The sequence below is a fragment of the Homo sapiens genome, chromosome 10, assembly GCF_000001405.40.
Source record: "Homo sapiens chromosome 10, GRCh38.p14 Primary Assembly".
Classification (NCBI taxonomy): Eukaryota; Metazoa; Chordata; class Mammalia; order Primates; family Hominidae; genus Homo; species Homo sapiens.
In genome coordinates this window covers 19,127,492-19,141,896 of record NC_000010.11, presented here as the reverse complement: position 1 = coordinate 19,141,896, position 14,405 = coordinate 19,127,492, and the positions used below count along the sequence as shown (strand labels likewise).

Here is a 14,405-nt window from a genome sequence, read left to right as displayed (position 1 = left end):
CCGGCCCAACATTTTTTTTTACATGAAAGACATCTAGAGACAATATCACAGTAAAAATTAATGAATCATACAAGATCCTTGGTTTAAATTTCTTTCATTTGACTATTATACCAACGTCCCCTGTGAAGGTACACAATTCATATTAGCATTTAAAATTGTTTTTAAAGTCCTATAATTTAAAAAACCCCTTTTTCATGGAATTTCCTGAACTATTTTGATTTGAAGATGTATCTATCATGCCAACTTTTCTGGAACACAGTGAAGTAGATTCTATATATATATATATTTTTCCTATATGAGTTATTGAAAATTGTATATATAAATACAAATGTGTATTTTATTGTGGTAAAATATACATGACATAAATGTAACATTTTAACAATTTTTAATGTAAGCTTCTATGGTATTAGGTACATTCCCATTGTCGTACAACCATTACCACCATCCATCTCCAGAACTTTTTCATTCCCAAACTGAATCTCCACCCCCATTAAGCAATAATTTCCATCTCCCCTCCCCTCAAACCCTGGGAACCACCGTTTTACTATCTGTCTCTATGAGTTTGCCTACTTTAGGTACTTCATATAACTGGGACCAAACAATATGTGTCCTTTTGTCTCTGGCTTATTTCACTTAACGTCTTCAAGGTTCATCCATGTTGTAGCGTGTGTCTGAAAATTAGATCTATTTCATGTATAAACTGTTCAGGGATCCAACGTGTATCTTTGGACATGTTTGGCATGTTGTATTTTAATTATTTTGATAGAGATTTTTAAAACATATTGCATATATATGTATTAATTTTTTAAGCTTTATTGATGTATAAGTGACAAATAAAATTGTAACTAAGGTACGCAATGTAATGTTTTGATATACATATACGTAGTGAAAGGATTACTACAGTAAAGCTAATTAGCATCATTTCATCATATAGTTACCTTTTGTGTGTGTGATCAGAACATTTCAGATCTACTCTCAGCAAATTTCAAGTATACAATACAGTGTTACTAACTATAGTCACCAGGCTGTACACTAGACTCCCAGAACTTATTCATCTTGTAAGTGAAAATTTGTATCTTTTGACCAATACCTCCCCATTTCGGCCAGGCCTCAGCCCTGGACAACTGCCATTCTACTCTCTGTTTCTACAAATTCAACTTTTTTAGATTCCATGTATAAGTGAGATCGTGCTGTATTTATCTTTCTCTGTCTGGGTTATTTCACTTTGCATAATCCCCTCCACGCTCATCATTGTCACAAATAGGAAGTTTTTTTCTTCATTATTGCTGAATAATATTCCATTGTGAACACATATACATTTTATACACACACACACACACACACACACACACATACACACACACACACACCCCACTTGTTTGATCCATTCTCAGAGACTTCAGTTGTTTTGGCTGGATATTTTGAATAATGCTGCAGTGAACATGAGGGTGCAGATATATTTTAATCTTAACTGCCCTCATTTAATACAGGATTATGTTAATAAACATCAAAAATCTATTGTTTGGTTTTAGAGAAATTTTACTCACAGTTCATCAGTTAAAGTAATATTTTAAGATCATGACAAAGCTTTCTCTTGCATATTTAACCACTACAGCATATGAGCAGACAAGAAAGAATTTCATTGTGCAGCTGGGAAAAATTCTGGATCATGAAAAGCAAAATATTTTATGAATCCTCCAGAAGTTAATCAGCTCTCTGTGAAATAAGAAAGAAAGCTATGTATGGGAAATGAATGGGGAATATTTCATTTAATGAGAATATATTAGATTCTAACAGGATTATATTATAAATATTGTGTTAATATACATTACAAATACACATTATAAATATTTTATTAATATTGATGCTCTTAAGGACTAGCAAAGTAAACAGAGTTTTTGCTTCTACCCTGAGAGAACTCTGACTTGTTTGCCTTTAGTTTTTATCAATTTTTTTAGATGCCATCTGTTTCTTCCCCTAGCTGTCTTCCTTCCTCAAGCCTCTTTGGTACAGTGGTTCTCAAAGTTTCATATGCAGACAAGTCACCTGGGACCTTGTTCCATGTAGCTTTTGGTTCTGTAAGGCTGGGCCAGGGCCTGAGGTTCTGCATTTCCACTAAGTTCCCAGGTAATGCTGATGCTCTGGTCCATGGAGTCTGCTGCTGCAGCAAAACCCACAGGCCGTTTTTATTAACTGATTTTGAAGAGCCACCGGTCTGGAGGCTATGTTATGCCATATATTAAAATAATACCGAAAAGTAAGGGCAACTTGACAATGACAGAAGACCTGAGTGAGTCTGCCTTTGGGGAAAAGCACACTGGCTGTGGAATACCAACTGACAATCCTCACGAGTTCATATTTACTCATTCTCCAGAATTTGGTAAGTATTCCTGGTGCTATTCAAACTGCCTGCACAAGCTATACCCTTCTAGAGATTCATTCTAAAGTGCAAGAAAAAAAAGATATAAAGGTATTTTTCTTGTGCTTCATGAACATGGAAGAATCGTTTATGAAAAAAACTTGATATTACAAATTCAAATTTGTAAGATACAAATGTTTTCATATGTGTAAAATGTTTCAATATGGTTTTAAATTTCAAAGGAAAGCCTCTTTTATTTTGTAAGAATATACATATGCACGTGTCTATATGCACAAATATATTAAATACTTTAGTGCAGCAAATAGTGTAAATTTATATCAATTCTAATAATCCAAATCTATATAATTTCACAGCATACATAATTGTATATATATTTACATGAAACACTCATTTTGGTATCAAAATACATGAATACACATATATACTGTATGCAATATGGCTACATTTTTATGACATATTCCCTATATCAAGTCCATCTCAATCATGCAAACATGACAGGTTTTCTTTGGACAAATGAGGTTACACTATTTAAAAACTTAAAAGACTAATAAGTAACACTGTTTTTGTTGAGAAACACAATTACCCATTCCTGCATTCACCCAAAGAAAATAGCAGAATATGGCATCAAGATCTACTGAATTGGAAAAATGTCATATACATAATCAATGAAACTTCAATAAATGAGAAAATATGTCGAAAATCAAATGCTAAACAATTTTTTAAAGGTGAACATAAAGTATGATTTACTACGGGGAATACAATGGAGGGGAAAAAGCTAAGCTTCCAAATATACAAGTGCCCAGGTGCAGTGGCTCATGTCTGTAATCCCAGCACTTTGGGAGGCTGAGGCAGGTGGATCACCTGAGATCAGGAGTTCAAGACCAGCCTGGCCAACATGATGAAACCTGTCACTACTAAAAATACAAAAATTATCTGGGTATGGTGGCACATGCTTGTAATCCCAGCTACTCTGGAGGCCGAGACAGGAGAATCACTTGAACCCGGGAAGTGGAGGTTGTAGTGAGCCGAGATCATGCCATTGCACTCCAGCCTGGGTGACAGAGCAAGACTCTGTCCCCAAAAAAAAAAAAAAATTAAATACGTGGAAAGAAAGGAAATATATTTTCCTTCAGTTATTGACATTAAGAATTATAGAAACTGTTAGAAAGAAATATTTCCCCAACAGAAATGAAGCAAATTGTCTGTAAAAAATTTAAATAAAACATAGAAAGAAACTTCACATACATTGGAGTAAATAAATTGCTCTTACATCGTTTGTTTTGAACAAAAGAAGAGAGCAGCCCAAAAGCTCCGTTGAGCTCACACTGGTTAGCCGATTACTTGGTTTAAAGCTGAAGTATTAACTGGATTGCTGTTGATGAACATGGCAGAAGGGGATTTTAGCCTTACTTTCTCATCTCCTCTCTCCTGTGTCCCTCCGCGTTGCTCTTAATAAAATCCAAGCTTCCCAAGAGAAACCAATTATACAGAGCTTTTCACTTAAAAGGTGGCATTTATCTTATTATAATATTTTCACCTCTGCTCAACAAAATATCTCACTAAAATAAGACACTGCAGTAAAATAAACGTCAAATTTTTAATATCTTTTAAAAACCACCTGTTTGTGATACAGAAATTGGATTCATATCCTTGGAATTCATGTTTTCTAAAGAGACACAGGGATCTCAGTTGCTAAGTTACCTCATATGAGAATCATCCTGTGGATTGTAAATTAAATTATATTTTTGTTGAACTATGACTATGCTTGAATAGTAATGGGATCTCTTGTCATCACTTCTATCAAAGACTCTTCAGAAAAGGCCTGAAAGAAAGGTGTTGGGGCACTTTGGCCCTCCCAAACGCCAGTCATGGCTGAAGTGATTTCTTTTTTTTTTTTTTTTTTTTTTTTCAGACGGAGTCTCACGCTGTCGCCTGGGCTGGAGAGTGCAATGGCATGATCTCAGCTCACGGCAACCTCCACCTCCCATGTTCAGGCAGTTCTCCTACCTCAGCCTCCCAAGTAGCTGTGATTACAGGTGCCCACCACCACGCCTGGCTAATTTTTTGTATTTTTAGTAGAGACGGGGGTTTCACTATGTTGGCCAGGCTGGTCTTGAACTCCTGACCTTGTGATCTGCCTGCCTCAGCCTCCCAAAGTGCTGGGATTACAGGTGTGAGCCATTGCACCCGGCTGGCTGAAGTGTTTTCTAGGCAAGTAAGAGGAGAGCGGCCCTTCCTCCAGGGCAGCCATGATGGCTGAAGTGATTTCTACAATCATGGTAGCTGCCCTGGAGGAAGGGCCACCCTCCTCCTACTCATCCCTCCCAGCTACAGCTTCCAAGATGATTGACTAGAGAGGAAAAAAGCATACACAATAAAAGTTAGCAACCCATACTATATGCCTCCAAGGCAAAGGTACAAAAAGTTTCCTTCTACCACCCATCTTCTCTTTAATCAAAGCACACACATTCGCACACCCAGCCAACAATAATCACAACTATTCATTTGTAGAATAAATTGAGAGATGTTGCAGACTTTGCAACAAGCACCAAAACATTAAGTTAAAATAGAGATCCCTGAAGGCATAGTACTAATAGTTTCAGAGCGATAATGCATATTTATCACATTTCATACATATGACTTACCTTTGCCTTGATAGAAACAAAGACTGTTTTAAATCCAACTAACAGTCTTGAATTAGAGCATGTAAACTAGTAAGCCATTCACTCACTTACAGCAAGTTGCTGGGTCTTCATCACTCTCATCGGAGCAGTCCTGCCGAGAGTCACAGACAGATTCTTTGGCGATGCACTGGCCACTAGTGCAAGGGAATTCGTCTGCAGAGCAAAGCTTTCTGGATTGGGTCTGTCCACAGGCATAGACCCAGAGGTGATCAAGGGCAATAAAACTTCTCTGGCTCAAAAGAGTCCCTTCAAAAATAATCTTTAGGAAGGAAAAGATTAATTTATGAGTTTGCAATCTCCTTAATAAGACAAAAAACTAAAGAAGGTTGATAAAGACAAAGTAGTTATTGAGAAAAAGTGTTTAAAGCAACCAAGGCAATATATAACAAAGTTCCTGTTTGATAACCTCAACCCATGCTCATACGACTGACATAACAAACCTGCAGGTTGTGCACATGTTCCCTAAAACTTAAAGTATTAAAAAAAAAAAAAACTGATGGAAACATTTGCTCCACTAAAGGCTCAGAGAAACCTCCCAGGATCAGGCAAAAAACAAGCATCCCACCTAACTATAAAAAATGTCCCTGACTGCAAACTTGTTACTTGGTCATCATCTTTACAGCTCTCTTTCTTTCATTTTCAAGGAAAATAAGAAGTGTTGTCATTACTTATAGAACAAGAGCTGTAACTGCATCTGACTTATTTTTTAACTAGTGAAATTAGTATTTGAATACATGAAGAAAAATATCAGGCAAACAGAAACAGACACAATATAGGAATAAAAAAATGTAAGGGAATAAACATAAAACTCTATTCAACTTACATAAAAGAGTAATTTCTTTAATGAGAAAAGAAGTGTCAATTAAAGTAAATAAATTTTGTTGTCACCAATTGAATTGCTAGCTTTTCTGGAGATAAGCAATATTAGCAAATGAAATAACCACACATTGCTGGTCAAGTGTAAGATAATGTCAAAGTATTAGCATTCCTTGAGTTTCTACCAAGAGCAATTATTACTTAACACCAAAAGTGCAGAAGTATAAATAGCTGACTGTATCACAGATAACCAATTATTTGCTGTCCAAAACATTAGCCATGAGCTACAGAGGACTATTTCAATTCAAATTAATGAAAATAAAATAAAATTTAGTTCCCTCAGTCATAGTAGCCAAATTTCAATTGTTCAATAGCCTCATGTGATCAGTGGCTACCATACTGGACATCAGATATAAAGCATTTCCATTAGGCAGAAAGTTCTATTAAACAGCACTAAATGTGGTTAAAATTCCAGCCAGATACTAAGAATTAAAATTGACTTCCTTCAGTTTCATCCAGCTTAAAGTTTCTGAATAGATTTTCTTTTCAAAACATGAGGGATAGGTCAGGTGCAGTGACCCACACCTGTAATCCCAGCACTTTGTGAGGCCAAGGAGGTGGATCACTTGAGGTCAGGAGTTCGAGACCAGCCTGGCCAATATGATAAAACCCATCTCTACTAAAAATACAAAAAATTAGCTGGGCATGGTGGCACATGCCTGTAGTCCCAGCTGCTTGGGAGGCTAACGCAAGAGAATTGCTTGAGCCCAGGAGGTGGAAGCTGCAGTGAGACAAAATCCCATCACTGCACTCCAGCCTGGGTGACAGAGCAAGACTCCATTTCAAACAAACAAAATACGAGGGATATATATTTGTTTGTTCATTAATAATTACTTAAGGTCAGATTTTCAGTTTGCAAATATGTCTAATAATTTGGTTTAGAAAATAATATTAAATTTAAATCATATCCAACAATAAGAAAACTTTGTATGCTGCTACATACTTTTCCCATAATGAATATCATACATGTAAAAATTATTAATGTATAGCTGTATATTTTCATAGCAGCAAGAGATCAGAAATGCAGAAATGATATCAATTTGAGGTTCAAAAATTGATGGTTTTAAACTTAGATCTCAAAGGCCTATAATTATTGAACAGCTAATTACATTACATATCCACTTGAGAACCTGGAATAACTCTCAAATTCATTTTCTTTACATTTTACTTTGTTTTATCTTTGAGTTAAAACAAAATTTAATCTTCAGTTTATAAAAAAAGAAACTTGTTTAGTACCTGAGAAGTTATAAAAACAGATATCAGCCTATGAAAATTAAATAGTGTCAAAATGTTAACTCAATAGGCTGTGATAGGATGTATAAATGGAATATCACTATAAAGAAATGAAGTTGCCTTCATAACCCACACATATAATCAGTATCATCATTTTATACTCACACTCCAGCATAAATAAACTTACACATTCCATATATCATGTTGGTGCAAAAATAATTGAGGTTTTGGCCATTAAAAGCAATGGCAAAAGCCACAATGGCAAAAGCTGCAATTACATTTGCACCAACCTAATACAACACAAAATATCAATTTAATTTTTTAAGAGACAGCATTCCTATTGAGCCTATGTATGTTTCATATGTTTCTTGGTGTACATAGAGCTTTCCATGTGTTATAAAGATATGAATTATTGCATTCAAAACATTTGCCTATACTCTACTAAGTTTCAATACCAGTTTACTATTTACCTACTTCATAATGCAATTTGTTTCCCTGGGGCACAGCATGGTGCTGGGGAGCAAGAAAGGAAGGCTGCGGAGAGTGAGGAAGCTGTGAACGAGAGTGGAGACACTCAATTTCCCCCGCCATGGGAAATTTGGTCTCAGAAGGAAAAGGTACAATTTAAAAAGTAAGCAATCACTCTCCCCAAATATACAAGCACGCATCCCTAACTTAACTGCTAATTTAACTTTAGCAGTGCATGGTCAATTTATTACTGCAAAGCTAAAACTTAAACCATGATAAAAAAATACTTTTTTTTTTTCTTTCATACCTTAAATGTCTTCAGATCTTCTGGTATTAACACATCTGCTTTCACCCATTGGCTGTGAGTTGATATGTTGTATGTCCAAAATATTTCTTCTTCCTTTGATTTGAAGAGAAAGACATCACTCATTACCCGTATTCTAATCTTCACATTTACATACATGCTCTTTTAATTACACTGTAGTAGGTATTACCTTACCTGTATGATATAAAGTACTAGGAAATCTAAAGTCTTGGTAGTAAAATTGAAAAAGCTGAATATCATTAAAAAATAAGAAAATGAAGCATGTTTATGTAGTAAAGCTGCTTTTTGCAGATAAACAGTATTAGGATGGAACAAAAATTTGGATGAAATCTTTTAAAAAAACAGTACTGCGTTTCAAAAATAAAATTCTAAATAACAGTTAATAAGATCAGCAATTAAAATGTTGAACTCAATAACATTATTACATTTTGTAATACTGCCATGATACTAGAAAAGAAAACGTTTACAGGCAAACAATATAAAGGTTAAAAATGTTGTCAGATGCATTTTCTGCACAATTTCAATTTATACTAAATATTTTTTCCTGTGGAAACATTTGGTCCAAATTCCAAACAATACAGATACATTCTGAAAATTATATTCTTAATTTGGTCATTCTATCAAAGGCCTATTTACATCTTTTAGAGAAATCTATGTTATGTACCTGTACAATGATCATTTTTCAGATTGCAAAATCTATGTAAAATTGTTACTACATGCTATGAGTGTAGTAACAAGCCTTTACTGCATTCAAAACATGTATTGAATGTAAGAAACTCAATAAAAGTCTATGGTGAAACTCCATCTCTACTAAAAATACAAAAATTAGCCAGGCGTGGTGGTGGGTGCCTGTAATCCCAGCTACTCAGGAGGCTGAGGCAGGAGAATAACTTGAACCTGGGAGGCGCAGGTTGCAGTGAGCCAAGATGCCACCAGTACTACATTCCAGCCTGGGCGACAGAGCATGAATTCGTCTCAAAAAAACTAAATAAAATAAAAAAGTCTATAAGGTACTCAAAATTTTGTCTACGGCATGTATGGCATTGGTCTTTATGATTTATGTTGATGCTTTTATGCTCTGAAATCTTATTTTTATTTACATTTTATTAGACATTCAAATTCACATTTCTTCCCAAAAATAGAACAAATTGTTCATAATGTTTACATATAGAATGCATGAATTTTTAGGTAACAATATGGTAAAAATGTGAAGATTGACATAATTATGTCTCAGGTTGAGCTCTGAGCCTGGCTCTGTCCCACTTTCTAGCATGAGATAGAAAACGGCCCTGAAAGGCAACATCTTGTTTTAATCCAAATGATACTTGATATCAATATTTGTGTCCTCACTCAGCCTCACATAATTTATGCATGCCCAAGATTTTCTAAAAATGAATCTACTTTCAACTTAGTCCTGCACCCTCAAATGCTTACTCCAAATTTCGAAGACCTAAATATTTCAGAAGATAGTCTAAATCCATTACAATTTACTTCATTACTTATTCATATCAACTGTGAAGATTTCCACAAGACAGTGAAGCACACGGGGTGGACATATTTTCGGCTGATAGCTTTCATGGCGGATCAGGATGAACTGGAGTTATAAAAAGTTGAGACAAGCAACTAATTTTTCTTCTGCTTATTTCTTACACAACTTCAGTTATTTAGCATCACCCTACACAGATGCTTTTAGTGACACCTCTTGGCAAATTGCATTCACCACTTTCCCCGTTTTCATTTTATGAAAATAATTTAGAGCTATTGTGCTCTTATTTCACAGTGACTGATTCCCCTCTGCTCCCCCTGAAGATGGGTGCACTTACATTTTTGAAAAGTGAGCAGTGTTCTTTCCAAACTTAAATGGTTTTTCATAAGCCAAGTTCATAGTACACAGTGAATGAGATCTAGATTTTTCTATACATTTTCCAGTCTGATGGCACTAGCAATGTTTTGTAAAAAGAATTTATTCTAAGTGAAATCAGGTTTCATTTTATTTCTGTTCTTACTCTTCCACTTTCTAGTTACTTTTCACAGGTGTTAATGTAAAAAAGAAATCTCCAACTCAGCAAAGCTTTTCAAGTGATGTTCTACTTTTATCTTAAAATCAGTAAATAATTTTTTAAAAAATATATCTTTGCTCCACCGGTCCAGGATCAATAATGCCGATTTACCTTTCAAGAAAAATATTTAACATATTTATTAACACTCTATCTCTTAGAGATGCCAGTCTATGCTTTTCTCTTCCAGTGAAGAAATCAAGGGTACCAAAGTCAATGTTGTTGAGTTTCACTACTTTTGATCGCATCTAGGAATAAGACCATGTAATTTGGTAAAGAATTACAAGTAAATTTGGTTGTAAAGAAAAATTACATGTAAATTTATTGGTAAATAATTACATGGAAACCCTACACAGAACAAAAGTAGGCTGTTGCTATGAGTATTATTTTATAGATCATGGACGCAGATCTAACCCAATAATGGTTAGATGGTACAAACTATAATTGCTACACACTTGAGCTGATTCTAAAGAGTGAACTTTTTATTTAACAACTTGCCTTCACCTGAGTTTTTCACTTCTCAAGTTCTAATGTCCTCTGGAAATAAAGAAAACAACCTTCAGCATTCTTGCTAGATATTTCTTGGCTTATCTCCTCACATTTATAGAGTAATAGATATTCACAACACAAAACAGCATTCTATTCATGGAAAGATGTAAATCATCATTTTCATCAAGAGCCACTTTTTTAAATGATAGGTTTGGAGTCCTTTTAAGTGTGTGATAAAACATTGACTTGGGACTTAAATGTACTTTGATGCAGATTTTGCATCAGCGAGCAACATATGTATAGAGGATAGCAAATAGTGTCAGAAAAGACAGGACACCTCACAGGATACTAACAAATCAAACATCAGTCAACAATCTCTAAGATGTACATCCATTTGGTTCTGGTTAATACACTAGATCATTTCCCTATGATTAACTTCTTTTCTTATAATATGAGAGACAGAATCTTGATAACTGTATTACTGATTAATAGAGTTAATGATGTGTGGTATCTAACGTCATTTTTATATGATGTAACACTTGAAGCCAATTTGTTTTCACTCTTTTCTTGTATGGTTCTAAAGCCACCAGAAGAATGGCATGGCTCATTTTCAGTAATTCCAATCTATATACATTCATAATTACATACATACTAAATACATACATTCATAATTACAAAATACATATACACATTCATAATTACATACACAATACATACATTCATAATTAAATACACAATTCCATTCTACATGTATTGAAACTTTTAAAATACATCACTCATTTTCAGAGCAGATTAAAATAATCCTCAGGATTAGACCATATTATAATACAAATTTCCACTTAAATTTAGGCTAAAAATTCATTCAATTTTCATGAAATAATTAATTATCTGTCATCTGAAAAGCATTACCATAGGTCCACATATATAATTTAACCATTTGAACTGTAATTTAAACTCATCGAAATTATTCTAGAATTTCTCTACTATGCCTTTATTGAAGAAGGAGTTGGAAATTATAGAATGTTGTAGATTGCATGGAGGCTTGCTGGGATTGGTTCAAACAGCACAGGTGACAGCAACTGAAATATTGAGGCATGAATGGTGGAACATACGTGGATACAGTTAAATTTTTTCTCTCTTCCTTTTTGGTAAAATTGATCCCACGTATCTGGACAGTTTGTAATGCTGCAGGAAGGATAGGGAGATGTTGTCCCCTTTTCTTCCTCCCCCCACACGTTACCAAATGGAATGAAATATATTAAATAGATTGCAGGGCAGTGACTACAAAGTACTATTGCAAGAAACACAAAAACATAACAAGTTCCAGAATGCCAGGAAAATTATATCTCATCCAATTAAAAAAGAATTTATATACATATGTATATTACTTTATATATCTATATGTGTGTATATGGATGTGTGGGGAGATAGAGATATATATATATATCACATCCACATATCTACAGATATGTGATATATATATGACATCCATATTTATCTATATATTTATATCTATATGGATGTGTAGAGATATATATCTATAGTCATCTCACATACATATAGATGTAATTATGTGAATCATATAAATCTGGATACATAAAATAATAAATATATTATTTGTTATATATTATATTACATATAATTATACATTATATATTATTTATTATGAATATATTTATTCATCTCCAGTTTCTGGCAGATAGTTCCCAAAAACCTGTTAATTTCCTAATCAATAGGGATGTTAATGGAATCTTATGGGACTCATCACCAGAAAGATCAAGCTATGATTAGAAGCTTGGAACTTTCAGCCCCACCTCTTTGGGGAAGAAGAGAGGGGCTGGAGATTGAGCTAATAAATGATCATACCTATGTGACAAATCCTCTATACAAATTCCTGAAGTACAGGTTTCAGAGAGCTTCTAGATTGCTGAACGCATTTTGGTTCCTAGAGGGTGCACACCTGGGAATGCATGGAAGAGAAGCACCACCCCTCTTCCCACATACTTTGCCCTATTCATCTCTTCCATATGGTTGTTCAACTACATTTTTAATACTAAATGGGTAACATGAGTAAAGTGTTTTCCTGAATTCTGTGAGCCATCCTAGCAAATTATCAAACCTAAGAAGGGGGTCATGGGAACTCCAATTTATAGCTGGTAGGTAAGAGGCACAATAGGAAGCTTGTGATTGACATCTGAAGTAGGGGTAGTCTTGCGGGCCTGAGACCTCAACCTGTGGAATCTGTACTATCTTCATGTAGCAGTGTCAGAATTGAGGCAAATCAAAGGACACTCAGTTGGTGTCCACTAGAGAACTGAATTGCTGTGTTGGAAAAAAAACATGCATCTGGTGTCAGAAGTGAGATATTGGGAGTGCTGAGTGCGTAAGAGTAGAAAAAGCAGGGTGTTTTCCTATACTATGGAATCAGCTGTCAGTTTGTTTTTATCTGTTATACTAATTGGAGTACTCACCCAGCTTTACACTTTAGAACTCATCGAGCATATTGGACAAGGAGAGAGAGAAGAAGAATGGACTCACTCTACCCAGTGTGCCATTGTTCAATATTTAATCAATAATTACCAGTCTTAAAAATTATGTCTACTGCTACCCAAACAAGTAAGTTTTAACCATTATATTTATAGTTCTAATGATATACAGATGTAATGTCCAAAACAGATCACATCAGAGCTTCAATACAGAGCTCATAATACAGAATCTCAGCTATCCCATTTTTATTAGATCTATAGTTTCTTTAATATACTTCCATGAATTTTGAAAACTTTATGAAATAATATTGGGCAAGTTATCACATTAACTTTTGTACATGAGAGTGTCCCCTATCCTAGTTTCTTAATCATTCTTTTTAAAAGTATACCAAGTAAAGTCAAGTTAAAGAATAAAAGCCTATGCGCAACTGAGAAATCGAAACACAAGTTGCCAAGAGTTAGAAACTTCATTGATTCAATGAATTTGAAATAAATGCAACTTTCTTCTTACCTTATTATTATACAGTCTTACTCTCAGGACACTGCTTTCCATTGCATAATAGAATTGAAGATGACAGCTCTTGCCCAGGCAATGACACACAGAGCTATTTAGGTAAGCCCTGCTGTCTAAATGGTTAAGAGTGAAACCATGCTTAGCGCCTACCCATACATAATAACCTGAAAGATAAAAGAAAAAAGAAGCAATTTAGGAAAACATTAGCTTCTTTCTGTCTGACTAAAACTATTACATTTCTGAAGTTTTCAAAACTAGACTTAAAACACAAATATTTTACTTAAAAGGATAGAGCGTTTTCAAATGATTACATCAACTACAAATAACAGGTTTTCATTTTTATATATTATTTCCAATATGTAGAGAAATCTCCTAATTTCTATAATCAAAATTTGATAACACCCTTTTGTAAAAATTCAAGATTCCTATAAAAGAAACCTACATATACAAATTGCTATACCACCAAATTATTGCCATTTTCTTTTAAATATCACAATTCAATCCTTTTTTTAATCAAGAATTTCTCTTCATCCTTCCAGAATTCTTGCCCCTCTGGATGATTTTTTGATTTACTTTTTGTAGAAAATCCTTTATAGTTTTAGGAAATACAACTTAAAATGTCTTCTTTCTTACCAAGCCACATAGAGGTATGAGATATCTACAGTCCTTTTAAACGTCACCTATGGATTTTGTTTTACATAAATATATTGTAAATAAATTTTTCCCCATCTGATATTTAAAACCAATTTGAGCTGTTCTTGAACTTAATAACAATGACAACACAGATTTATAAAGAGATTTCTATAATTTTACAACTTCATTTTCAAAAATAAAGTCTGAATTGCTTCTTCATGCTACTGAAACTGCTGCACGTCTCTGATGTTTATTTAAAA

General features: G+C 34.3%; 1 protein-coding gene across 8 annotated transcripts in view; it reads right to left on the bottom strand.

Moving 5' to 3' along the window:
• The window catches only part of MALRD1 (MAM and LDL receptor class A domain containing 1), a 687,552-nt gene that overhangs the window by 592,582 nt on the left and 80,565 nt on the right, over positions 1-14,405 (bottom strand). For all 8 annotated transcript variants that reach the window (XM_011519453.3, XM_011519455.3, XM_011519454.2 and 5 more), the window contains 3 exons: positions 13,510-13,676; positions 7,949-8,041; positions 5,116-5,323 (listed from right to left, as the gene is read on the bottom strand). In XM_011519453.3, coding sequence (XP_011517755.1) covers positions 5,116-5,323; positions 7,949-8,041; positions 13,510-13,676 — 468 coding nt within the window. The remainder of the gene's footprint in view (positions 1-5,115; positions 5,324-7,948; positions 8,042-13,509; positions 13,677-14,405) is intronic.